The sequence below is a fragment of the Homo sapiens genome, chromosome 3, assembly GCF_000001405.40.
Source record: "Homo sapiens chromosome 3, GRCh38.p14 Primary Assembly".
Classification (NCBI taxonomy): domain Eukaryota; kingdom Metazoa; phylum Chordata; class Mammalia; order Primates; family Hominidae; genus Homo; species Homo sapiens.
This window is the reverse complement of record NC_000003.12, coordinates 171,876,310-171,902,461: the sequence shown is the minus strand read 5'-3', so window position 1 is coordinate 171,902,461 and position 26,152 is coordinate 171,876,310. Positions and strand designations below refer to the sequence as shown.

Below are 26,152 nucleotides of genomic sequence, written 5' to 3'. Positions count from 1 at the left end.
TTTAAACCTTCTTTAAGATTGTTTTATTACTTCAAATCTTTACAAATATCTCAGGGTTCTCGGGGACAAAGGACAGCTAGGAATAAAACAAATCCAGAACACAAATTATTCACACGGAATGCTGTGACTCTGGGGTGGTGAGATTTAGGGATGGCTTCTACCAAGTGAAAGAAATGTGGCACCATGGATGGAAAATATAGAGTGTTCTCACTTCTTTCCGAGGGCCCACAAGGATGAGATGGGCCTTGTGATCTTCAGAGAGTGAGCTGTATCTTAAGAATTATCAGGATTCATGTTGCTCTCCAGATGTATTTACTTTGCGTAATCCCTGAGACTTCAATAAACACTGATTTAAACACACTGGCCTCGTTTCTGCTTGTTGTGGGCAAAAAGGGAAGATCACTGTGGCCATCTCAGATTCCACTGGGCCAGAATGTCGTGCAAGGGAATGGATTAGGAAATGGAGTCAGGGGCTCTGGACTCAGCTCTTCCCTTCCTAGTCAAGAGAGTGTCCTCCTGGTGAGGCTCTGGAAGCTTCAGGGCTTTATTTGAGCTCTGGCTGGAGGCATTTCCCATCAGCTGTCAGGTGGCTTAGAGTAGTGGGAGTAGGTGGTCCAGAGCCACAGGATAGCGCGTCTGTGGCTGTTGCTCGAAGTTGCTAACTTTGTGGTTGCTAAGTGGCCAACATTCATTAGCAGTCTTCAATTCTGTCCAGTTTCAAAATGACACTCAAGATGCTTAATCTCCTCTTAAAACAGGAGCACTTTCAAGCTGTGGCTGAAGATTCCATATATCAGGATATTCTCAGCAATGATTTTTTTTTTTTTTTTTTTTTTTACCCTCAGAACCAATCATGCACTAAGTTGCTACCTCTTTAAAAATTTTGATCCACTCCTGCTTCTTCAACCCTCCTGCCACTGCCTGGGTGCCCCCATGATTTTATGTCTATGTTATTGCAATTGCCTGGGAATTATTTCACTGCCTTCGTTCTTAGGACTCTCACCCCAAAATGACCAGAATGCTTTTAAACATAGATTTGACCTGTTACTCCCATATTCAAAACCCTTCATTGATTACAGGATACAGTCCACATGGCCCTTCATTGATTACAGGATACAGTCCACATTTCTTAGTCTGAAATTTTAGACGCTTTAAAATTTCTCCCCATCCACATTTCCAACCTCATTTTTTTTAACCACTGGTAATATGTTTTAACTACCCAATACTACTTAAAAGTCCTTTTTTCTCACCATCTTTTTTCTTTCCTTACTTCCTTTTTACCTCTGTCCTTTCTCTTCATCTTATTTCTTAAAACAACAAGAACAACAAAAATCTCCATAAACGTGGAAAATATAAATGAAAGACAAATTTACAATCTAATGACCTCAACAAATAATTACTTTAATATGTTAGATAGTAGTCCATTATTTCTTATGCGCATACTAATGCTGGGTTCTAAACATTTTAATTATTCTTCTTTCGAAGAAGTGGAGGTTCAGAGAAATCCGGACAAATTTTCCTCATTTTTTTATGTCACTCCTCATCTCTTGTTTTAATCACAGGTTTAGGAGGTATAAAATTTAGTCCTTAAATGCAGAAAAGCAAAATACCTACTTCTCTTTACTTTTCTCTGACTCCATACATTGGTTTCTGTTTCAAATTCCATTCTTGCCAAGCCTCCCCCCGTTTCCCCTGAGTTGCATCAAATCCTCACCGTCATCTAGCCACAGCGGCATCGGCTGAGACCTTCATCCTGATTGTTCCTTGGGTGCTGTTTAGTGCCAGCCACTGAAGAGAACCTCCTTGTTTCCACCCACGTGGCCCCATCTGGTTTCAGGGCCTCCTCTGTGCTATTTTGGGGTGCGAGGAGATCATTTTTCAACGCCTACAGCATGGCGGGACTGGGAACTCCACAGCCTCCGCAACACTTTTCGTGCCGCCATTTCTTCTCAGGGTCTTGCCGCCTTTCTCAAGCTCAGCCTGTGGAGTAAAGCGCAGGCACATCTCTCAGGTACGTAACGGCGCCACTGCCCTCTCTGCTTCTCCAACTCTCCTTTTCCAATCTTTTTCTAGTTTGAGTCCTTTCCGTTCTCCTAAGGAGCTAGACTTAAAAAACGTAGAAATCTGAAAAGACTCCTTTTTGGTGCTTGTTGCCATTCTGAGTTCTTCCTGAGCTGAAGGTCAAATCTGGTGTTTGAATGGAGGTTAGGGTCAAGGCAGAAAACGAAACACTTGGGAAACCTTTAATATTTCTAGAATACTCTTCTGACACAATAGCAGAGAGAAAATTTTACTTTCTGCTTTTTTTTTAGTTGACCATAAATATCACCAAATATTATTACTTAGCCTTTAAAATAACTTTTAATACTTGCCTAATCATACATTGCCTAAATTCCAAGAGGCATGGGATTTGTTTTGTTTGTCTGTTTGTTTTTTGTGACAGACTCTTGTTCTGTTGCCCAGGCTGGAGGGCAGTGGTGTGATCTCGGCTCACTGCAACCTCCACCTCCCTGGTTCAAGTGATTCTCCTTCCTCACCCTCCTAAGTAGCTGGGATTACAGGCATGCACCATCATGCTCAGCTAATTTTTGTATTTTTGGTAGAGATGGGGTTTTGCCATGTTGGCTAGGCTGGTCTCGAACTCCTGACCTCAAGTGATGCACACTCCTCGCCCTCCCAAAGTGCTGGGATTACAGGTGTGAGCCACCGTGCCCGGCTTTGTTGTGCTTTTTGGTTCTGAGGAATGTTGAAGCTCACTGTGAGGGGGCCAGAGGTGTAGAGAGGACACTGGGAGAGGGATTATGTATCAAAGGTGATTTCAGGGTCCTCAGTTTCTGGCTATCACTGCCGGCAATGAAATGATAGAAACATGAACGTAAATTAGACACATTTATTTGAGTTTCTGTCTGTGTTTATATTAAACAAAGAAGTTCTATGGCTGTGGGCTCCCCCAAGAGCCTGATGCTTTCTGAAAGATCAAATATGTACCTCATATCTTTTTGTTGTTGTTGTCATTGTTATTGAGACAGAGTCTTACTCTGTCGCCCAGGCTGGAGTGCAGTGGTGCAATCATAGCTCACTGCAGCCTCGACCTCCCAGATTCAAGTGATCTTCCTGCCTCAGCCTCCCTAGTAGCTAGGACCACAGGCATGTGCCACCACTCCCAGCTAATTTTTTTTTAAACTATTATTTGCAGAGACGAGGTCCATTATATTGCCCAGGCTGGTCTCAAGCTCCTGGGCTCAGGTGATCCTCCCACCTTGGCCTCCCCAAATGCTGGAATTACAGGTATGAGCCACCATGCTAGCCTACCCCATGTCTTAGTGCAGTTCACAATTGGGTAGATAACACCAAATAAGAACATCATAGATACATGGAGAGCTTGAGAAAATAAGTAAAAAGGCTGTTTGCTATTTTAAAAATTTAGTCTGCTGGCCCTGATATAATATCTAGTACACTAGACTCTGATCCAATGATTCAAGTTCAAATTTACTTAATTTTGTTTGCATATAAGATGACATATTGCAAAGTACTTTCATGTCTAGAATTTTTACATAGAATGAACTCCAAGGTGGCAAATTTGTTGGAAGAGAGATGAGAAGATCAAGTGAATTATTTTGAAGCAGGCTTTGCATAACAAACGCAAGACTTTTCATAGATTGTGTATTTGGGCCCAATAGATATTGATCTCCAGCCACCCTAGGGCACAGCTACTGAAGGTAGGTACAGGCTTGGGTGGTCTGACAGTCCTTACTTGTTATGTGATCTTGAGCAACTTACGTAACTACTTTGGGTGTTAATTTTCTCATTTGAAATATGAATAACCATATCTACCTATTAAGGTTATGATAAGGATTTGAGACAAAGTAAAGTGCCTGGCACATAGTAGGCATTCAGTAAAAAGTAGATATTATTGGTAAATATTATTCCCGCAAAAGCATTTATGAGCACAAACAGGATAATTATGGAGGAAAGATGAAACTAAGAAAACAAAACAAAACTAACACCAACAACAAATTACTCAGTCTGTGATGATTGTCCTTTTGGGAGCTTTAAAAGCTGATCATTGCTTGATTTCATGATATTACCCTTCCCCAGGCCCCACAAAGTATTATATGACATGTTTATTAGTTTAAGTGGTTTTGCTTCTTGAGACTTTAGAATTTTGTAACACCCTTTGTGCTACTGAAGATTCTCTGGGGAGTCACAAGACCAGTATCAAAATTTCCTTTTAAAATATTAACAAAAAAGTAAATAAATTATCTCTCTCTAACGCAGGCAGAGCCAAGATAACATCTAATAAAGGGCTGGCTTCATTAGGCTGACAACAGAATGCTATTTAACCACCTTGTCCCTTCCCTCTGTCTTGCTTCTCCTTGCCCTTCCCACAAATAAGCACTGGAAATTAAAAGCTGCAATTCTACCCCAAAGTAATTACCTTGATGCATAGATAGGACATTCCAAAGGGCAGAGAAGAGCATGTGCTAACAATCAGAAAAGAAGAAAAACCAGAGAGTGAGGACCAGTGAGCATAGGATTCAAGGAGTAGCTCTGGACAAGAGCAGACAGGATGAAAACCCTAAAGAGGATTTGGGAGGTGGAACACAGCCAAGGAGAAAGGATAACAATATACAGAACCCAGTTTACCCTCTTGATGCCCATACAGCAATTGGGTTCATTAGTCTCCTGAAAAAAAAAAAAAAAAAAAAAAAAAAAAAAAAAAAAAAAAAGCTTCTCCTCCCAAATCTCTCCAAAAGCATAAATGCTAACTGCAGAAATGTCAATGAAAACTCTTACCTGAGCATATTCTAACCACTCTTAGAAATCAGGATTTCTTGGGAAACTTCAGTGCTTAGCCTAGTTCTGCTATTAATGATTTGGGAGAGTTTGAGGAAATTACTCTACCTGTTTTGACCCCAGTGACCTCATTTGTATTCTTCTGTTGAACAAGTATTTGTGTAGCAACTACCAGAGGCCAGGTATTATGATACATCTTGATGGCAAAATGGAGAATGAGAGAGACATGGTTTTTGACCTTATGGAACTCACTGTGTAGTGGAAATAGACTAAACATAAACACAATGATGGTGAGTCCAATGAAAGGTGAAGAAAGAACATTAGGCTGAAGCTGCATGATGGCCAGGGGCACCGAGGCTGGCAAGACAGGTCAGCCTGAGTACTGACGGGGGAGGGGCCCCAGGGAGAGCAGGCCGAGGCAAAGCCTGAAAGGCCACATGCTGCAGGGACGTGGAGGCATAAGGAAGGCCAAACCATGGATTTCATTTGAAACGCAATGGGAAGGCCCTGGAAGAACAAAAGCAGAGGTAGGATGGTTTATAAATATGTATGCTTTATAAATATGTCACATTCCTAGCAGTTTGAAAATTCTATTATTCTGACTATCCATCCTAAGCACTTATGGCCCAAGTAGTCTCTTTAATATAAGAGAAATTTCTCCAACCTGAAGAATATTCTTTGGATTAGAAAATCTCTTTCTAGGTACCCTGTGACCTCTCCTCTCACCTTCTACATTCACCTGGCATGTTTATCTCTCTACCTGTGTGACCATTCCCATGTCTGCAATTTCTTGGCATCTTCCTTCAAGCCCCACATCCAAGTATGCTTCTCATACCTTATTGACATTTGATGAACTACGTTCCAACTTGCCTTCAATTCCCTATAAACCTGGAGTGTCACCTGACTGAAGCCTCTAGCTTTAGCATGCTAAGCCATGAGAATTCTTCTCCATGAAATCATTTACTTTCCCATAAAATTTGCTTGAGAACTGTTTAATAAGCTCCTTGTCAAGGAAGAGAGAAGGAACTCAACAAACATTTGTATTGTACCCTGTATCTCCCACAAAGATAAAGTTGTTGTCTCCAAATTACGGCCTCTGTAGACATCCTAAACCCTTTAGGCTTAAGTGTTTTAGGATATCCAGTGAGAATTCAACAAACATCACATGGCGGGGAACCATAACCACAATGCCTGCTTTTCAGCACTTTTAACTTGTGGGATCTGAGCAAAGAACTGGCCTTTCAAGACTCCATTTCTCACAGAAGTACAGTAGTTTCTTCCTCATGTGTTAATTTAGTTTGGCAATATATTGCAGCTATTGTACAGCTTTTGCGTTTTATGGTTTGACACAAGAAGGGACAGCTCTAATACCTTCGAATTTTGTATGGATTGTGGGTGCCCAGAGCCGACATTTTCCAGCAGCTGGTAAACAGCTTTAAGATTGAGAACCTCTTCTTTTTGCTCTCATTTGCCTGGAGAGTCGTAAATGTCAGAGTCTTGTAACTTACACACAAATAAAGCCCATTGGTAAGTCAGTAAAAGCAGTCTGGACACATGCTCACAATGAGCATATGAAGACACTTCATTATCTCTTTTCCTGGTGGCAGTGCAAGGAAAGAGCGTGGAAGAGATACCCGCCCAGCTTCCAGATGAACTGCATGTTTAAAGCTTAGTTGAAAGATATACTTAACATTCAACTGAAACATGCAAGTCTGATGAAAGAGGTATTGTCATCAGGTTTTCCTATAGTTTAAACAATTTGGAATAAAAAGATTGGATTGTTAGATCAGAAAGAAGGGCAATTGCAATGCACAGACCATTTTCTAAGAATAGTTGTTCTTATTGATTAAGAATTTAAAAAAACCTCTTTAGTTGCCTTTTACATTTATTCTCATCTTTTTTAAAAAAACTCTCACTCTATCTCTTTTTGTAGGATTATGTCTAACTACTGGTTATTTTTTAAAATTTCAGTTTCTTCAGAATTATCTGTTCATTTGTTTTCCAGAATGTTAAGTCCTCCTGGCAAAGTCTTACAATCTATTTTCCTTGAACCTATAAGAACCTTGTTAACTGTGTGATATGCAGCAAACCAAACATTTGTGTAGTATCTGTCTGCCTAGGAGATAAAGCTGTTCTTGCAGTTAAAGTCCTGGAAGACATCAATAACCCCCTTTTGCTTTAGGCATTTCAGGAGAATTGCCAAGAGAGAAAGGGGGAGGGGAGACAGAGCTGGAGAGGGGGAGAGAGAGAGAGGAGACAGAGAGAGAGGATCAAGTCTAGATGTGTGGAGAACCTCAACCTCAATCTCTTGCAGCAAGAAAATGAGTATACTAGGGCAAATAAGCATCTTGAAGAAAAGATTGATACAGAAATTAATATGTTGACTATTTTTATTCTTCAAAAGTAACATAATAGCCAAAGTTCTTCAGAGCAAATTGTTTTTTATTAGGTTTTTAAAATAAAATTACTGCTTGATCGAATGCAACAATCTTGATTTTTCTATTTTAGTTTAATGAATAGCTGTGTGTCGAATTTTTCTAAGAGAATAAAAACTGCTCATAATTCCAGTAAATTCATAGAAAGAAATGTTAATTTATAATAATGTCCTTAGTTTTCCCCAAAGATTATGGATATGATAGGGCCTAATTCCAGATTTTTTTATAGACCACTTTTCCAAATGCCACAAATCCAAATAAAGTTCAATTTTAAAGGCTTCTATACGTTACAGAGTTTTCTTCAAAAGTTTTCTCCAGAGTCGAGCCAATTTGTAAATTGTCCTCAACGACCTACTTTGATGATTGAAATGCTTTGTTTGGGAAGCAAAAGATATAGTTTATGAAAAATGCTTACATTGAAGAACACAATTATTACAACAAAATGATTATAAAAATGACTGCCCTATTGTTCAGTGAATTATAGTTTTCTGTTATTCTAGAAATGAATGTTAGTTCCTTCATTTTCTAAATTGGAATCTTCTGTATGTATAATGTATGTTGGTGGTAACTGGTGTGCATGTACGTGTCTGTTCCCTACGGTTCCCCTTACTTCAATGCCCAGCAAGTTGACACAGCTGCTATTTGTGAATATAACGTATCAAGAATCTAAAAGAGTCAACACGAACTCTTTAGCACCTCAACTTACATTTTGGGTAATTTCCTATGCGAGTCCTTAATGCAAGGCATTCTCTTCCTTCCTTCCCTTTTCTCTCCTCTCCTGTTCTCCCTTGATGTCCCTCGGATAGCACTGGGGAAGACAGTGCAATGTACGCAGCTAGTTTCTGCTGACCTGCAGCCTGCTCTTGAATTTGAAATTAGGTCTTCAACATGAGGCTGTCAGCATTTTACCAAAATACTTCATTGATGTGTAATAACACATTTAACAAATGGCAAAAAATCAATCACGATCTGAGAGATTTAGATCTAATTTCTGAATAGAGTAAGTTGAACATTTCCCAGAGTTGTTTTCTTCTAATAGCATCAAAGCTATATTGGGAGTGGCCCAGAAAGCTGTTAAGTTGTTGCAGGGGTCCGATGTCAAACTTCTTTCAGAGGAGCTAAACTAAGTGGCTTCTTGAGCTCCTTTCTTATAGGATTCTGGAATCTGGAGACCTAGAAGCCCTGGAATTTTTCAGAAGCAGTCATGAGAATTTCTGAGTTTTTGCGTCCAAGGACTGTTGAAAGTAACAGGTATTCCACTTACTAAGTAGACCAGGGCTAAAGGAAAGAAGGAAGGAAGAGAGGGAGAGAGAGAAAGGGGGTAGAAAAGGGAGGGAGGGAGGAAGAAAGGGAAGAAAGAAAGGAAGGAGAGAGGGAAGGAGGCAGGGGCAGATGAGGGAGGAAAAACAATGAAAACAGAAATTTGTTTAATATTTAAAGGTTAAACTTGTGGCACGTTTACCCCTGCACATTTTCTCTCTCTCACACACACACACAGTGTGTGTGTGTGTGTGTGTGTGTGTGTGTGTGTGAGAGAGAGAGAGACAGAAAAAGGGTACAGTTTGCCTATACTTTGATTTTCATTGCTTCACCCAGCCATCTTCAAATTCGTTTTCCTCTTCTCGCAAACATTTTTCCTACTCTTAAACACCTATTTACCATTCCATTCCCGACTCTGCCACTCTGCTGCTCCAGTCCACCAAGATCCTGTGCTTATCCTGCCTGTTCAGCCTTCCCTGACCACCCTAGCCCAGAGCTGTTTGTCCCCTTGGTCTCCCACTTACAGTCTGAACTAGTCATTTGGCCCATATCAATGACAGCATGGTGGTGCCACTTATCTCGTCTCATGTATATGTCTTATCTGTCCAATTAGATTCAGAACTCTTAAAAGCAAGAACTATTATCTTTCGTTTTTTTCTTTTTTTAAATTGTATCGCACATAAGAGCTTACACATAGTGGTAGGTGGTCAATAAACATTTGTTGATTAATTGGTTAATTAAACAGTTGAGAATACAATGTTTTATTAAGGCTACCTTGTTGGCTAAATAACTTGTCAGTTTAACAACCTTCATAAGCAAGAAAATTTTATATGTGAACTAAACTCTTTCAAGGTTCAAATTTGTGAAACTTCAGGATAGAAACAGGATAATTCTACTCTGTTCTTGTAGCAATGACTTAAATTTCTTAAACAAAATATCTACCCTAGCTGTAGTATCCATTTCAAGTTAGAATTTTTGAGGAGATTTGTGTTGGGCTGCATAAAAAGAAAGAAAAGAATCAGTTACTGGTGTAGCATTATTTGTGATTTCATAACCCCTTTCAATATATCAAAATTTCTTTCTTCAAATTTCTCCCTAGAAGTGCAATTTTCACAGTAGCCAAAGATCTACTTAAGACTAATTTCCCTTCCTGCTGTATTTTTGTCCAGATTGTACTATTCAATTCAGATTAGAAGTCAGGGGGTATTTCTTTGTTGTTTCCTGGACAGGACTGAAAATAGAGTTTGTCACAACAAGAAGTAATTACAGAGCACTTAATATTTGTAAAGTGCTTTCCAATCTTGTACCAGTTTGTCTTTGAAACAGTATTGTTGATGTGGGCTACTTATCTCCTGAATTTCCAGATGGAGAAAGGGGCAGAGAGGTTAAGTGGCTTGCCTGAAATTTAATAGTATGTTACTTGTAGTGCTCCAGTATTCAGTATTAATGCTTCACAAGTCTTGAGTGAAAAATGTTATCCATATTTCCTTTCTAATTTTGAAGGCAAATATAGTTCTAGGGCTACCCATTAGTAGCCCTAGAATTTTTTAGTGATTTTTAGTCCTTAAGACTAAAATTTTAGTGATTTTTAGTCCTTAAGAGATTAGAAGATACTTTAACAAAATAAAATTAATTAAAGAAGTTTTAAGTAACTTAGTGCATGAAAAAAATCGTTTTGTGGTATAGAGGTGCATACAAAACTATATAGGACGTTTTCACCACAGTAGCCAAGTAGTTGAAACATCAATTTAAAAGCTAACAATAAAGCTCTCTCTCACTAAATAGTTTTTAGGCAATAAGACTTCAATTTTACTTGCGATAATTTTATGCATTGAGAGAAGAGGGTAGGGCCAGCCTGTGGGTCGGGGGTGAAGGGTGTTGGTGCAGGTAGCCTGCTGTCACTGGATCTCAGCTTTCAGACACCAACTTCCAGACCTGTCACTGCTAAACTCAGTGAGTGGCTTAGAGCCTTAGATTTTTTCCTCTCTAGACTTATCATAGACATTTCTTTGCCCACAATCACAGAAAGCCATCTTGGTATTCTGTTTGGTTCTGAGAAGGCTTCTTGTGTTGTGATTGGTTTCTTTCTTGGGAGATGGGGTGCAATTGGAGGAGGGGAGCTGTTAATAAATGGACTTTTACCCAGGTTAATTACTACCTTTGCTCATATATGTCCAGTTTACAGTTTGGAACAAGATTAAATGCCTCTAATTTAAACATCATTGAGGAAGCATTCTATGAAGCCCCTAAACAATATTTAAATTCTTGTCCCACAAGCCAAATAGGGCCAAGGAATCTCACCCCTTTCAAGCCCATTAGCCAAGAAAAACCTTAACCACACTTTCAGGAAATCCCCTGTTTGGTGGGGCTCTGGAAAAGCTGAATGAATAGTTACTGTTATCCTTACTTTACTCTATATATCAAGACACATTTTTGAAGGAAGAGAGATTTGCATACCCATTAAGGTCTCCACAGCTCAGATATTCTTGGCCCCATCTTTGAAACTGATCATCAAGTAGGTGTTGGTAATCCTGATATATTTTGGTGGGGAGGTGGGGATCAAATCAAGTAAGCTATAAAATCTTTCAAAAGTGACTTCTAGGAAAAAAATAAAAGTAAGTTCTCTTATTTGAAGTGGTCAGTCTTTTTCACTCTCTGAGAAAAACCTTTTTGCCTACCTTAGCTAAATAAGTTAACAGTAATCCCTGGAATTTATGTAGAATAAAATGTAAAAGTTGTTGTCTTTAGTTCTTATGACAGCTACATTCATCTTGTGTCTGCATAAAGCTGAGTCTTTAGAAATATGGCCTTTGGTCCCTCTTAGTATAACAATTAAAGTTGAAAAGATTTTATAATCTTAATATTGACTTATTTTTAATGAACTATAATTCTTCTTTCTTTTCCTACTGTATCATTAAAGGCCTATTAAATTAGACAGGCTTTTTTTTTGCCCAAGGAGATATAGAGTATATAGAGTCAAATGAAAAATTCATCTTGGAAGTGACACCCCAAAGCAATCTCACTATGATAATATAAGAATGTAACCACGGAACACATATCTCTTTAATTTCACAGCTGGCATGTTTATTACCTATTTATTTAACTCCGTCCATCTCTGGAAAAACCTTAACATTAAAGATGTTATTGATTTTTCAAAGTGTGCTTTTGGGGACAAAGGGGCAGAGCAAGAACGTGGAATAGAAGGCCCCACCAATCATCTCCCTACCCTCCCTCCTCCCAGGAACACCAAATTCAACAGCTATAAAAAGCTCCTTTGTAAGACTTACCAGAAATCAGGTGATTACTCACAGTACTTGGTTTTAACTTCATAACTTTGAAAGAGGCACTGAAGAGAGTGGGAAAGACCCTATTGAATCATTGACACCACCCCTACCCCATCCTGTAATGGCTGCATGGCATGGATAAACCTGTGTGCTTGAAAGAAGGAGACTGCAGTAATCATGAGACTATGCATTGAATTCAGTGCTGTCCTGTCACAGTGGAAAGCAAAACCTGTCTGAACTCAGCTGATGCCTGGCCGTGGAGGGAGTATTTAAACCAGCCCTAGCCAGAGGGGAATCATCTACCCCAGTGGCTGGAACTTGAGTTTTAGCAAGCCTCACCACAATGGGCTGAAGTGCTTTGGGGCCCTAAATAAATTTGAAAGACAGTCTAGGCTACAAGTACTGCAAGTCCTAGTGCTGAACAGGCTCAGAGCCAGTGGACTTGGGGGCACATGACTTACTGAGACACCACCTGGGGAAGCTAAGGAAGTGCTCATACCACTACTCCCCCAACCCCAGGTGAAACAGCTCTCAGCCTCAAAAGAGACCCCTTCCTTTCACTGAAAGAGAAGAGAAGGAAAAGTAAGGAGGACTTTTGTCTTATATCTTAGATACCAGCTTAGCCACAGTAGGATAGGGCACTGGTCAGAGTCATGAGGCCCCAGTTCCAGGCTCTAGCTCCTGGACAGCATTTCCAGACATACCCTGGGCCAGAAGGGAACTCACCGCCTTGAAGGGAAGGACCCAGTCCTTGCAGGATCCATCACCTTATAACTAAAGAGGTCTTGGGCCCTGAATAACCAACAGCAATACCTAGGGACTATGCCATGGGCCTTGGGTGAGACTATGAGATGTGCTGATTACCCAGCACATTCACAGCTTCTGTAGCTGTGGGGAGAGAATCTCTGCTTGACAAAAATTATTTCCTCAAAATTTTGAAATTTCTGGTTAGGAAGGAGATTTCAGCCTGATAGTCTTTAGCAGTGGCGATAACTATGCATAATGGTCTATCCCCACCTCTACCAGTAAAGTTATTTTAGGAAACCATGAGGGGTTTTTAGTGGTGGATTCCACCTTACAGTCAGTGGTTTAGAAACCTAAAAAATAATATAACCTCAGGGAATTTCAGATTTGGGAATTAATTTATTTAATGGATCAAATTACACTGAGTTTCAATGTGCATATACATTAGATATATATGTAAAAAATGAACCTTGATCCCTACCTCACACCATACTAAAAAAGTAATTCTAGGTGGATTATAGAACTAAATGTGAAATGAAAAGCAATAAAAATCATAGAACATAGGAAATTATCTTGGTAACTTTGGAGTTGAAAAATATTTTTTAAACAGGATACAAAAAAATGCTAACAATAAAGGAAAAGATTGACATGCTGAACTTCAGTAAAATTAAAAATTTCTGTCATTCAAGACATCATTAAGTGATTTAAAAGGCAAGCCACAAAATGGGAGGATATATTTGCAATGCATAGAACCCACAAAGGACTCATAGCCAGAATATTTAAGGAACTTCTATATGTCAATAAGAAAAAGACATTTCAGTAGAAAATGTGCAAAAGGCTTAGCAGGGAAGTTATAAAAGAAGTCACCCAGTAACTAATAAATATTAAAAGTCATCAGGGAAATATAAATGTGATTTCACTGTATCCTCATCAGAATGGCTAATATTAAAATGAGTGACAATAACAAGGCGTGGCAAGGATATAGAGTAACTTACACTTCTGGTGAAATTGTAAGTTGGTACCATTGCTTTAGAGAACAGTTTGGCAGTATCTCCTAAACCAGAACATAAATATATGCTATGCCAAATGATTTCACTTCTAGATATATAACTATTAGAAATGCATTAATATGTTTTTTAAAAAAACATGTTCACAGCAGCATTATTCATACTATCCCCAAACTGGAAACAACCCAATTGTTCATCAACAGGAAAATAGCAAAATGAATTATGGTATATTCAGACAATGGTATACAATGGAGTAATGAAAAGGAATGTACTGCAGATATATGCAGCAAAATGGATGAATCGCATAAATGTAATGCTGCTTGAGAAAAGCCACACACAAAAGAATACTTACTATAGGGTTTCATTTATATGAAGTCCAAAGATAGGCAAAACTTACTAATGGTAATGGTAATAAAAATCAGGGTAGTGTCTATACGAGCACAGCATAATCTCACCTAGTCTGACTAATACAATATAAAAAATGTCACCTTCCCTCTGAAGCTTTACCTGATATTTTCATTCTGCAATTACAGGAAGATATTATTTGTATTTCTATTTAACATTTACATAATTCTGTCTTGCTTCATAATTAGCTTTGTAAAGAATGTCTGCTTTTCAAAAGAAGACATACATGGAGCCAACAAGCTTATGAAAAAAATTCAATATCACTGATCGTTAGAGAAATGCAAATTAAAACCACAGTGAGACACCATCTCACACTAGTCAGAATGGCTATAATTAAAAAGTCAAAAGATGACATGCCAGAGAGGTTGCGGAGAAAAGGGAACACTTATACACTGTTGGTGGTAATGTAAATTAGTTCAACCATTGTGGAAAGCAGTGTGGTGATTCCTCAAAGAGCTGAAAACAGAACTACCATTCGATCCAGCAATCCCAATACTGGGTATATACTCAGAGGAATAGAAATCATTCTACCATAAGAACAAATGCAACAAATGTTCATTGCAGCACTATTCACAATAGCAAAGACATGGAATCAACCTAAATGCCCATCAGTGACAGACTGGATAAAGGCAATGTGGTACATATACACTGTGGAATACTATACAGCCGTAACAAAGAAAGAGTTCATGTCTTTTGTGGGAACATAGATGGATCTGGAGGCTCTTTTCCTAGACAAACTAACCTAGGAACAGAAAACCAAATACCTCATGTTCTCATTTATGAGTGGTAGCTAAATCATGAGAACTTATGAACACAAAGAAGGAAACAACAGACACTGGTGTCTACTTGAGGGTGGAGGGTGGGAGAAGGGAGAGGATCAGAAAAGATAACTATTGCAAACTGGGCTTAATACCTGGGTCATGAAATAATCTGTACAACAAACCCCTGTGACACGAGTTTACCTATGTAATAAACCTTCACATGTACCCCCGAACCTAAAATAAAAGTTAAAAAAAAATAGTGTCTGTTTTGTTCTTCTATTACTAACTCCATTCCGTTATGTAAATACGTACTCACACACTACCCTCATTTCAATAAATATGTTCAGATAGTGATAAAGAAGACAAAGTTGAGAGTATGTAAGAATAGTACCAATAAAGTTTTAAAATTAATCTTTTTAGTGAGTATGCATAAATTAGTCCCTCCTTATCCATACGGGATATATTCCAAGACCCCAGTGGGTGCCTGAAACTGCAGATGGTACCAAACTCTATATAGGCTATGTTTTTTCATGCATACATATCTATGATAAAGTTTCATTTGTAAATTAGGCACAGTAAGAGATTAACAACAATAACTAATCATAAAATATAATAATTGTAACAATATACTGTAATAAAAGTTATGTGAACCTGATCCCTTGTTTGTTCTGTGCCTCAGAATTTCATACTGTACTGTACTATGGGTAACTGAAACCATGGAAAGCAAAACCAGAGGTGGGGGGGGCACTTCTTTATGCATAAAAATGCATAAATCCTAGGTGTAAAGATCAATTAATTTTCACAAATTGAACAAACCAATGTAATAAATACACAGATTAAGATATCAAACTTTTTCAGTACGCCAGTCATTATAGCTCCGAAAGTAACAGACATTTCCAAATTACAAATTATTGGGGCTATTTCTCAGAAGTAGGACAGACCTCCACCCACATTTTGATTCCAGTATCAAGAATGATGACACCGCACACATTCCAAGAAGGTATGAGAAGGTTTATTGCATAGTGAGACTTTCTGGGGAGAATATGGTAGGCCTCCCACACTGGTCTGAAAATGGCTTGGAGAAAGTAAGAAAGTGAGATTGGCCTAAGGTGGTTGGGGTGGGGTCAGGGTGAGTGTTCCTTCATGGAGAAAGGTGTTTGCAGGGTTTCAACCACTCTCTGTTATCAAAGAAGGGAGCGCCAAGATTTGTTAATCAATTTGGTCAGATGTGTGGCAGAAGGGAAGAAGGAAGGGCATGGTTTTAAAAATATCCGCAGTCCAACTTCAAGACATGGAGTCAGACTTTTTAATCTTTATTAATTTATTTAATTTTAATTTTATTTCTTTTTATTTTGAGACAGGGTCTCCCTCTGTCTCCCAGGCCAGAGTGCAGTGACATGATCATGGTTCACTACAGCCTCAACCTCCTGGGCTGAAGTGATCCTCCTGCCTCAGCCTACCAAATACCTGGGACCACAGGCACATGCCACCACGCATGGCTAATTTTTGTATTTTTTTGTACAGACAGAGTTTTGCCATATTGCCCAGGCTGGTCTCAGACTCTTGGGTTAAAGCAATCTGCTCACCTCAACCTCCCAAAACGTTGTCATTACAGGCATAAACCACTGTGCCCAGACAGACTTTTTATTACACAAACACAACCAATGTTCATTTCTTGCTCATGCTACATGTCCATGATGGTTTGGGTAGGGTCTCTGGTCCATATCCTCTTTACTCTAGATTGTCAGAGAAACTATTCTCTGGAGTATTGCTGACTTTCTAGCAGAGAAAAATGAAAAAATAGCCTGTTTCATGCAAGATCTTAAAGCTTCTGCCCAGAAGTGATGCGTGTCAATTGCACTTATATTTGTTCACCAAAGCAAGCCACATAACTCTGCTGGATACAACAAGGGAAGAAGCGTGCAATCCACCATGTGTTTAGAAGGAGGAGCACCATTGTGTAAAGATTATCCTAACACAAAAATATAAAACTAAAATATAAAATAGAAGGAGGAGCACCAGAAAAAACGATGAACAACGCTGTTGTCTACCCCAGGTGGATGTTAAAGGTTGAGTAGGGCATTGACAGGTGAAGAAAATAACACTGTTGAAATGGAAGGATTAACATGAGTAAAGATGTGAAGGGTGCCTGGTATGGCCCAACCAGAGTGCCTAAAATGGACTCATGGAAATGAGCTTAGAAAGCCTTGAACATTAAGTATTTTGCATTTATAACATGTGATGGCAGAAATAATTTTTAGAATATTAAAAAGTGTTTTTAGTAAGGTGATTTAGATATAGTAAATAAGAAATTGGAATTCTATTATAATAGAGGAGAGCGAATGAAGGTCTAAACTAGACAGTTGCGGTGGGGATGAAAAAGTGGAGGCTGCACCTATGGAGGTCCAATTGGATATGAGATGAGAATAAACTGATAATTATTCCATCTTCTTCTTCCTTGGTTGACTGGAAGAATGATGGTGGCATGTCATAGGGCACAAAGAGCCACCCAGGGGAAATTAATGTTTGCTTCTGAAAATGCTGAGTTTAAGGTGATGGAAGTACAAGGAATAGACACTCAAAAACTGCTGTGTAACACCTAAGAACAGAAACAAAACTGGACTCATAGATGCTAAAATCAACATCCAATAGGTGACTTTTGAAGCCATGGAATTGGATGAGGTTGCCCAATGAGGGAGACTACAAAGTTAGAAGGAAAAAAAGCTGGCCGGGTGCGGTGGCTCATGCCAGTAATCCCAGCACTTTGGGAGGCCGAGGTGGGTGGATTACCTGAGGTTGGGGGTTCAAGACCATCCTGACCAACATGGAGAAATCCTGTCTCTACTAAAAATACAAAAAATTAGCCTGATATGGTGGTGCATGCCTGTAATTTCAACTCTCGAGAGGCTGAGGTAGGAGAATCGCTTGAACCTGAGAGGCAGAAGTTGCAGTGAGCCGACATCGCACCATTGCACTCCAGCCTGGGCAACAAGAACAAAACTCCGTCTCAAAAAAAAAAAAAAAAAGAGAAAAAAGCTGAAGATGGAACTTTGGTGAACACTTACATCTGGGGACCATGCTGATCATATAAAAGCTAGTAAAGAAAACAAAGAAGAATCTGTCTGAGACAGGAAAAGAGCACAAGCTTCAGGAGGAGAGATTCAAGAAAAAAAAAAAAAAAAGGAGTGGTTCACAGTGGCAAATTCTGCCAAGGGGACACATAGGAGGAACACCAAAAAGATGACAGTGGAATGCCTGTGAGAGGTGACAAGTGATCTTTGCGAAAACCATTTTATAGAGAAGTGAAATTAGAAGGCAGGAAGGTTACAGCAAGAGAGGGGAATAAGTAAATATAGATTATACTTTTGGTAAATTTGGGATTGAAAAGGCAAGCTATGTATGGGAAAATAGCTTAAGAGAAAGGCAGAGTTTCTGGAAAGTTGAGCTATGTAACTTGGCATGCCATCTTGCACACTTTCTTTAGAGCAAGTGTTTTCATTAAAATAAATTATGCTAGAATCTAACTACAATTCTTGGTAGGTTCTGAAACACATCATTAGTACCTAAGAGAATTCCACAGGGGTGGGTGTGAGGCTCAAGATGGACGAAACAGAATCAGCCCCAGAATTGTTTCCGATCCAGAATGCGGCTGGGTTTGGAAGCTGCCCAAATGTAAGATGAGACCTGCCAGTGGTCCTCTTACCTTACATTCATTGAATCAGCCTGAGAAAGGGGCCGACACAGAGGAAAAGAGCCCAGTGAGACAGTCTGGAGAGAAAAGCATACGTCCCTGCCTCTAGCTGGGCTTGAAGCAAGACCTGAGTGTGCAATTTTCCGTTATGAGACCCAATCAACCCCCTCTATTAAAATTAGTTGGAGTTTAGTATCCTGTTATTTGCAACTAAGAGTCCTAATACATAACATCACTTAAAGCCATGTACACATCCTTCTATATCACAGGTGGGATTTTAAAGAACTAACATTTGTTGAAATCTGTGAAGTCGCGACGGTGAGAAGGAAATTCAGAATAGAATTGAACATTTGTCTTTCCTTTAATTATTAATGGTTTCACTATGTGAATAGGAAAAATGTTGCAATAAGCTAAACATTAACTTTTGAATCATCAGTGTACACAGTTTTCATTGGGATACAGTTATGGAGATATTTAGTTGTTGTTTTCCTCAGCCTTTAAAAAAATAATGACATTGCCACAAACAAAAGGATCATATCTTTGATCTTTTTAAAGGAAAAAATTTCCATCTTTATGATATAATTGCAAGGTCCCAAGATCTAAAAGGATCTTTACCCATACAGGCTGCATGGGCTGGTCTTCCTTATTTGTTTTTGGATTAGTTCCCAATTGACATCAAACACAGCAGCAAGACCCTTTTCTCTTTTGTGTTACAAGCAGCATCAATTTGTGAATTGTAAATACCCAAACTCTCTCCTGAAGATTAGCTTAACTAAATTGTCCTGGGGCAAGAGATGAGGAATTCATCCTCTACTTGCATGATTAAAAAAAAATTAACTTTCAAAAGGAGCAGGAAGAAGCTTGTCCACAATAAATCACTAGCAAGCAAGTGTTCTGAAGGGGAAAAGGTTGATATTAATAGAGGCAGCATTTTTCTTTCAGTAGAAAAGTTCTTTCAGTGAATTTGGAACTGACAGCCTTCAAAACTTAGGAAGTTAAGGATTAGAATGGCACAAATTTAAGAAGAAATATTACTGTGTTTTATATACTTGAAGATGTTTCTTCCTCTAATTGGGAGGTAGTTACATTCAAATGTCCAAATTACCTACAGTGTTTGTAAACTCCACATATCTAAGGCCACAGTTCACTTTTTGTGTATATGTAAAGGAGTTTGACTGATCCATTTAATTATCAATGAGAATAAAAGTATCAATGGGGATACAAATGTGGCTTGATAAAGAGATGGTCTTTAGACTTGGCATATAATTATATAGAAAATTTCTTAGTGCATTATCATACATTAGAGAGAAAAAGGCAATGGCCCGGGGGTCAGAAGACTGGTTGCTTTACTGCTACCAAATTAGAAACTTGGATAAATTAGCTAATCTCTCAGGATCTCAATTTCCTCATCTGTTACAGGTTATTGGGGAGGATTCTATTGAGACTTTTTGCTGATATTTTAGCTACTATTGCTATGTAACAAATTATCCCAAATTTATTGGCATAAAACAACATTTTATCATACAAATGAGTTCTATGGGTCTGATATTCAGGCAGGGCTCAGCTGGGCAATTTTTTTGCTTCTTGGGGCAATTGTTGAGGTCATCTCAGCTGGCAGATGAGATAGTCCAAAGAGTTCAAGACAACTTCACTCACCTTTCTTGGCAGAACTGAGCTCAGTCTGTCAACTGAAGTGCCTGTACATGGCTTCTCTAGCATCATGGTCTCTCTGACTTGCAGGTTTTAGGGTGGTCATACCTGTTACATTGCAGCCGGCTTCTCCCACAGCAAGCACCCCAAAAGAACCACGTGGTTCCAACATAGCAGCCTTAGAAGTCACACACCATTTTTGCTGCTCTCTGATCATTGCAAGTTTGCTCAGATTTAAGGGCAAAGAATATCAATTCGAACTTTCGACGAGAACAACATCAAGGAATTTTACATCCACATTTTAAAACCACCACACCTACTTATAAGGCTCCAGATATGATCTCTTATCATCATTCTCCAACACACTGTGTCCTCTCCTATATTTCATTCGTTCATTCATTCATTTATCAAATATTTTACTTCATACGGGCATAGCGGGTAGCCTGTCAAAAAATTGACTGGCAAAGCAGAAACATAATCTCTGCTCTCACATAGTTTATGGTCCAATGCAGGACACATATATTAATCAAACACAGGCAAATATACAATTATAAAATCTACTACAAGCCACAAAGGAAAAGTACAGGGATCCCTGGGTACACAGCAGAGAGATCTGGCTCAATTGAGGTAAAGGGGAGGCTTCCCTGTGGAAGGAATGTCCACTTTGAAATATAAAGAATGGATTGGAGCTGGGTAGGTGAAGAGTATCAATATTGCCCCTAAATCTTGGTCTCCTAATTTAGAAGAACCCATTGTTTCCACTCGACTTGTTTTTTAGCAGTCATTGATTTCAGAAGGTATTGATATTTGATACTGAATATGTAGCCTCTGATTTGTTCTGGCCTTCTTGGACCTCTACTAGCTCCCTACTGCTAGCTGAATAAAATCAGTAGGTTTAGTAAGGCACTGGAAGCCCTTCATGTGCCAGCTGCGTCCTAACTTCATGGCCTCATTTCCTCCATCCATTTTGGATTCCACGCTCCAGCTACACCAGCCTGCTTGCTATTCCCAGGGCATGCATTAATTTTCATGCCTCTGCGCTTTTATTCTCACTGACCTCTCTTTCTGAGATGTGTTTCCTCTTTGTCTCCACCATTAAAATGCTATAATCTTTGCAGGTCTTGATCAAGTGCCACTCCATTGTGAAGGCTTTCCTGATCCCAGGGCATAATTACTCTAACCTCAGAGTGTTCTCTATAGCTCTTTACTGATACATCTTTTCAATTCTGCTTTGCTGTCTGTTTCTTCACTCCTACTGCATTTAAAATCCTTGAAGACAGGAACTGTGTATTAAGTAGGCCTTGGTCCTGCAAAGTGCCTATCACAGTGTTTTCCACACAGTAAGCGCTCAATACTTGTTTGGAGATTGAAGGAATGAATGAATCATGTATACTTGGCCCTCCCTATCCAGGGGTTCCGCTTTCATGGATTCAATCAACGACAGATCAAAATATTTTTTAAAGCAAATAAAAAAATACAACGATTAAAAATGACAGAAATAATATAGTATAACAATTATTTACATTGCATTTACATTGCATTAAGTATTGTAAGTAACCTAGAGATGATTTAAAGTACAAAGGAGGATGTACCTAGGTTATACGCAAATACTACTTTTATATAAAGAACCTGAGCATCTTCAGATTTTGGTATATGTGGGGTCCCAATCCTGCCCCCTTACTGAGGCACAGCTGTATATCATTTTGAAGATTACAGGGCCATCAAGTGCAGGGCCATTTGCTACTTTTTGTATACTCAGCACTTAATGTCGTGGGTGGTGTCCAATATTAATATTCACTGTAAATAAGCTTGTAGCATTTCATATGTGCATATTTTAAATGCCACTGAACCTACTAGGTATTTTTTACACAATTCTGGTTACATTTTTATGCACTTCCACTAAATCAATAAACTCTTTGGGGCAGGAATTGTGCCTTCTCTGTATTTGCGCCTTTATTCTCCCAGATATTTGTTTTACATATAAATTACTGAGGTAAAATAAAAATATTTGATGGTTCTTAGATTCGAAAGTTACTCAGATACTCTCACATTTATTAGATACATATCACTGTGCTAAGCAATATGGGAATATGGGTTCATATATGCATACATAGCAGAATTGTGTAAACATAGTTTGTTATGGATTTGGATATGCTCTGAAGGAAGGGATATATTTTGGGAAGTAATAACCACATCCAGCTATCCAGCAAGTCTTTGACATAACTCAGTAATACTTAAGTAGGACTCAATCTTGTCCTTTAGAATTGCCATTATACAAGTGTTTTCACTGTCTTTATTTGCATATTGTTTTTTATTGTATTTGAAGAGGATGGTAAGGGCAACTCTCTGGGTGGAGTGGTAGAGCCAGAAGGCTGAAAAGAAAACTGATAGTCATCAAATCATAGACAATTAGAGTCAGAGGGGCTAGAAGATTACAGTAGTGGATCCAACTCCCCTATTGCACAGATGAGAAAACAGGCTCAAGTGCACACGCTTGCCTTTGTACCCCATGGTGCTCAATCTTTGGGAGCCTGCAATCAAAAAGAAGACCTCACAGGTGAAAGGAAGCAGTTTTCTGGCTGTTTTTCTTTGAAGGGTCTCTTCTGTTTGCACTGTTCCAGAACACACCTGTTGGATTCCTGTCAGAGCTTAGCAAGTGCACGCTTATTTATACCACCAATGACATCATTCATTCATCTTGGAAGCCGTAGTGCTCTCCCCCACAGGTTCTCAGCAGTTACTAAGATGTCCCCTGATTTCATTGACCTCTGTGTGTCTTCAGTCCTTGACCTTTAAGGCTCCCTGGTGCCAGAATGTCTGCAGCTGTAGGATCAAAGACCCTTGGGGGAAAAATCCATTCTCAAAAGAGAGGAAGATGGGGTGAGTTACTAGGAAAACCACCTATATGCCCCAGAGCCTTTGTTCATCTGGAAAATGCCTGAACTGTATTCCGAGTATAAACATCAAGCCCTAAGACCGAAACACAGCACAAGTCAGAAACAGAGTTGATATTAAAGCTCAGGTCTCCTGCCTGCCAGTCCAGAGCCACATTCTGTCTGTCTTCTAAAAGAACTTGATGTGTCTCATACAAAGTAAGTCCTCAGTAAATATCTTTGAACTAGATGAATGAATGAGGTGGCATATAATGACAGATACAAATACAGCAAAATTTTCAAGATAAGAGCAAAAGACAAAGCAGTAATTTAAACATAAAAGACAAGGTTAGACCTTTTAGTGTACGTCCTAGATTTAAATCTAAATTCTGTTGCCAGCTTCCTGGCAGGCAAAGCAGAAAGGGCAATGCACTGGACTTGACCAAGATCTCATTGCATAAGAGACATAGCACTCCAGAGCATCACATGTTTTCCTCACTTTTATATCTCTGAGAGAAATGAGTCTTGTGGGAAATCTTACTATACCAAAGTGTTGTTTATATCTTGAGAACATGTGAAGATTCTTCCTTGGTGTACAGCCAAAGTGCTTCTTTGCAACAGTTTAGTCCCCTTCCCAAGTGTTGGTTGTTCAAAGAGAATAACTTCATTTTGGTTACCATTCCCCTGCTGCCTGCAACTGCTGTTTCTAAACCTCAGCCAAGACCCATTGTTTAAGTGGAACCTCAGAACATTCTTAAAATATTTCCTAAGCACTCTCTAGTTATAGATGTCCTTCCTCTGCTAGTCTTACAAAGCTAGATGCTAGGATATTTTTGCAATCTATTATACTTAGCACAGTTTATAATCCTTGGCTTTGTTATCTCAGGCACCCCCTTAAGAATCCCTTAACAAATAAAGTAACCTGAGTAGAATAAAATCCTTGTTGATTGATTGATCTGAGCTTTGCCGTGCACTCAGCCCAATCTCGCTTTGCAGCTCTCTGCTGTGGCTCCCTCCCGCCCAGGCCATCCATTCCATTTAGACATTCTCTCCTGTTTATGGCCAAGCTCCATATTTTTCCTCCTGTTTTTCACTATGTCTATGATATTGTCCATCTCCATATCTGAAATCATAATTCAACTTTGAGCATATTTTCCTGATGAAATTTGCCAAACAAAGCATGTGAAAGCTCGTACACATTAAATTCACTTGAAACACTCACACATATTTCTTTTAGTCCCAGAATTTTCTACATTCAATTAATTGACTCCTTTGTTTTATGGGTGAGAGAATGGAAACCCAAAAAAGTAAAATGATTTGCTTTTCAGTCCTTATCCTGGTAAGTATTTAACCTGTTCAAACGTCTTTGTTATGTTTACTTTAATATTATCTTTATTTTGTGGACTGGGAGATTTCATTTCCCAATTCATTGCATCTTGACCCCTGGCTGGCATCCTGCATATTCTTTTTTTTTTTTTCTTTTTTTTTTTTTTGAGACAGAGTTTTGCTTTTGTTGCCCAGGCTGGAGTGCAGTGGTGCAATCTCGGCTCACTACAACCTCTGCCTCCCAGTTTCAAGTGATTCTCCTGCCTCAGCCTCCCGAGTAGCTGGGAATACAGGCGCCTGCCACTGTGCTTGGCTAATTTTTATATTTTTAGTAGAGATAGGTCTTCACCATGTTGGCCAGGCTGGTCTAGAACTCATGACTTCAGGTAATCCACCCACTTCGGCCTCTCAAAGTGCTGGGATTACAGGCATGAGCCACTGCACCTGGCATGCATATTCTTAATTTTTAATAAATTAATGAACTAAGTGAAATTAGAATTATTTTATATTCTATTGCAACCTAAGAAAAAAATGAATGAATTAATAAATTAGGGTCACTTTAAAGTAAAAATAAAATATATAAAATATTTTGGTCACTTGAGTATTTCAAGGCAGAATTGATAACATAAATTTTTTCGTTTTTCTAAATCAGTTTTATCATTGTAACATATCAATTATGAATACCTTTCTTCACCTACCAATTCTGACAACCTTTTCTATTGAAAATATCTATTTTTTTAATGCTATGATTTAAAAAAATCATCATAAAGACTCTATCCTCATAGGTAAATTATATCTTCTAGGATGTCGAATGAGCAATGCAAGTCTTATTTTTAAGAAATAGATTTATAGAATAGAAAAACAATGCAGTCTTTGCAGGAGCTTCTACAAACAGGAGATGTGAGAAGTGTTCAAAACAAAGACCGGGTCATCTTTAAAAATATAGGAAGTTTTGATCTTTCTCCTTGCCTAGAGCAAGGTGAAAGGGTAGATTCTTAAACTAAGTCTGATCTGTATATTTAAGTTAAACAACACTTTCAACATGTATGGGCAAGCAGAAGCATTATTCAAATGGTAAAAAATACAGGCTCCAGATTTTGTAACTATACGAATATATCATGCAAAATAAATACCTTTTTCTCCCTCCTAGGTTTAACTATAGGAAAAAGAATCCTTAAAAAGGAATGATTCAATGGTGTAAGAATGCAAATTTGGCAAAGTAATAAAACGCTAGTAATTCTGGACATTTTACATTCTTGCCTATAACTGAAAGTTCTGTACTTCTTTCTAGGGTTGGTATGCTTCCCAGCCTTATAACCACTGATACTTTTGACAGATCTTGGAAAGAGTGACTCATTTATGAAGACGCACAACATTTAAGAAAACAACCACAGGATAATGAGGGAAAGGTGTGACGACTAGGCTTGTGTTTTGACTAATCTTGGGGAAATATATAAGCCTTTCAGATATTCGCTAATTTCTCCAGGAAAGAGCATATTTGTCACTGCAAGTCCCATCCAATTACTGTGAAATGATTTATAGAAGCACTCTTGATTCGTGAGGGCTGACACCTAGCCACTCAACTGCCATAGAGAGCTTAAATCTGTTTGGCAAACCTAGGACAATATCTAGAAACATTGCTTAGATATATAAATCTATCAAGGATACTAGGAATTTACATTTCTGAAGTCATAACTTTGATTTTTTTTTTTTTGCAATAGAAACTTCTCACCCCTGCTTGCTCTCGTTCACTGAAGTAAAAGTGTCTTAGTAGTTTGTTTTGAAATGGAAAAAAAGTATTAAGGAGTTGTTCTCTTCTATCATGTTTGCAGTTATTGCTTGATGGATTCTGCTAACTCCCAGGAGAATCCAAGTGGGAGGACAAGTAGAAGAAAAAAGAGTCCAAAGGCTGGAGCCCT

The 26,152-nt window shown here is 38.7% G+C and overlaps 2 long non-coding RNA genes across 2 annotated transcripts in view; one reads left to right on the top strand and one right to left on the bottom strand.

Moving 5' to 3' along the window:
- LOC105374218 (uncharacterized) overlaps positions 1–1,998 on the bottom strand; it is a 38,180-nt gene extending 36,182 nt beyond the window's left edge. Inside the window, exon 1 of the long non-coding RNA XR_924719.2 lies at positions 1,715–1,998. This is a non-coding gene — a long non-coding RNA (uncharacterized LOC105374218). The remainder of the gene's footprint in view (positions 1–1,714) is intronic.
- On the top strand, positions 1,722–26,110 carry TMEM212-AS1 (TMEM212 antisense RNA 1). The gene is made up of 3 exons (NR_046852.1): positions 1,722–2,011; positions 3,197–3,288; positions 26,066–26,110. It is a non-coding gene; the product is annotated as a TMEM212 antisense RNA 1 (long non-coding RNA).
- Positions 26,111–26,152: the final 42 nt, after the last annotated feature.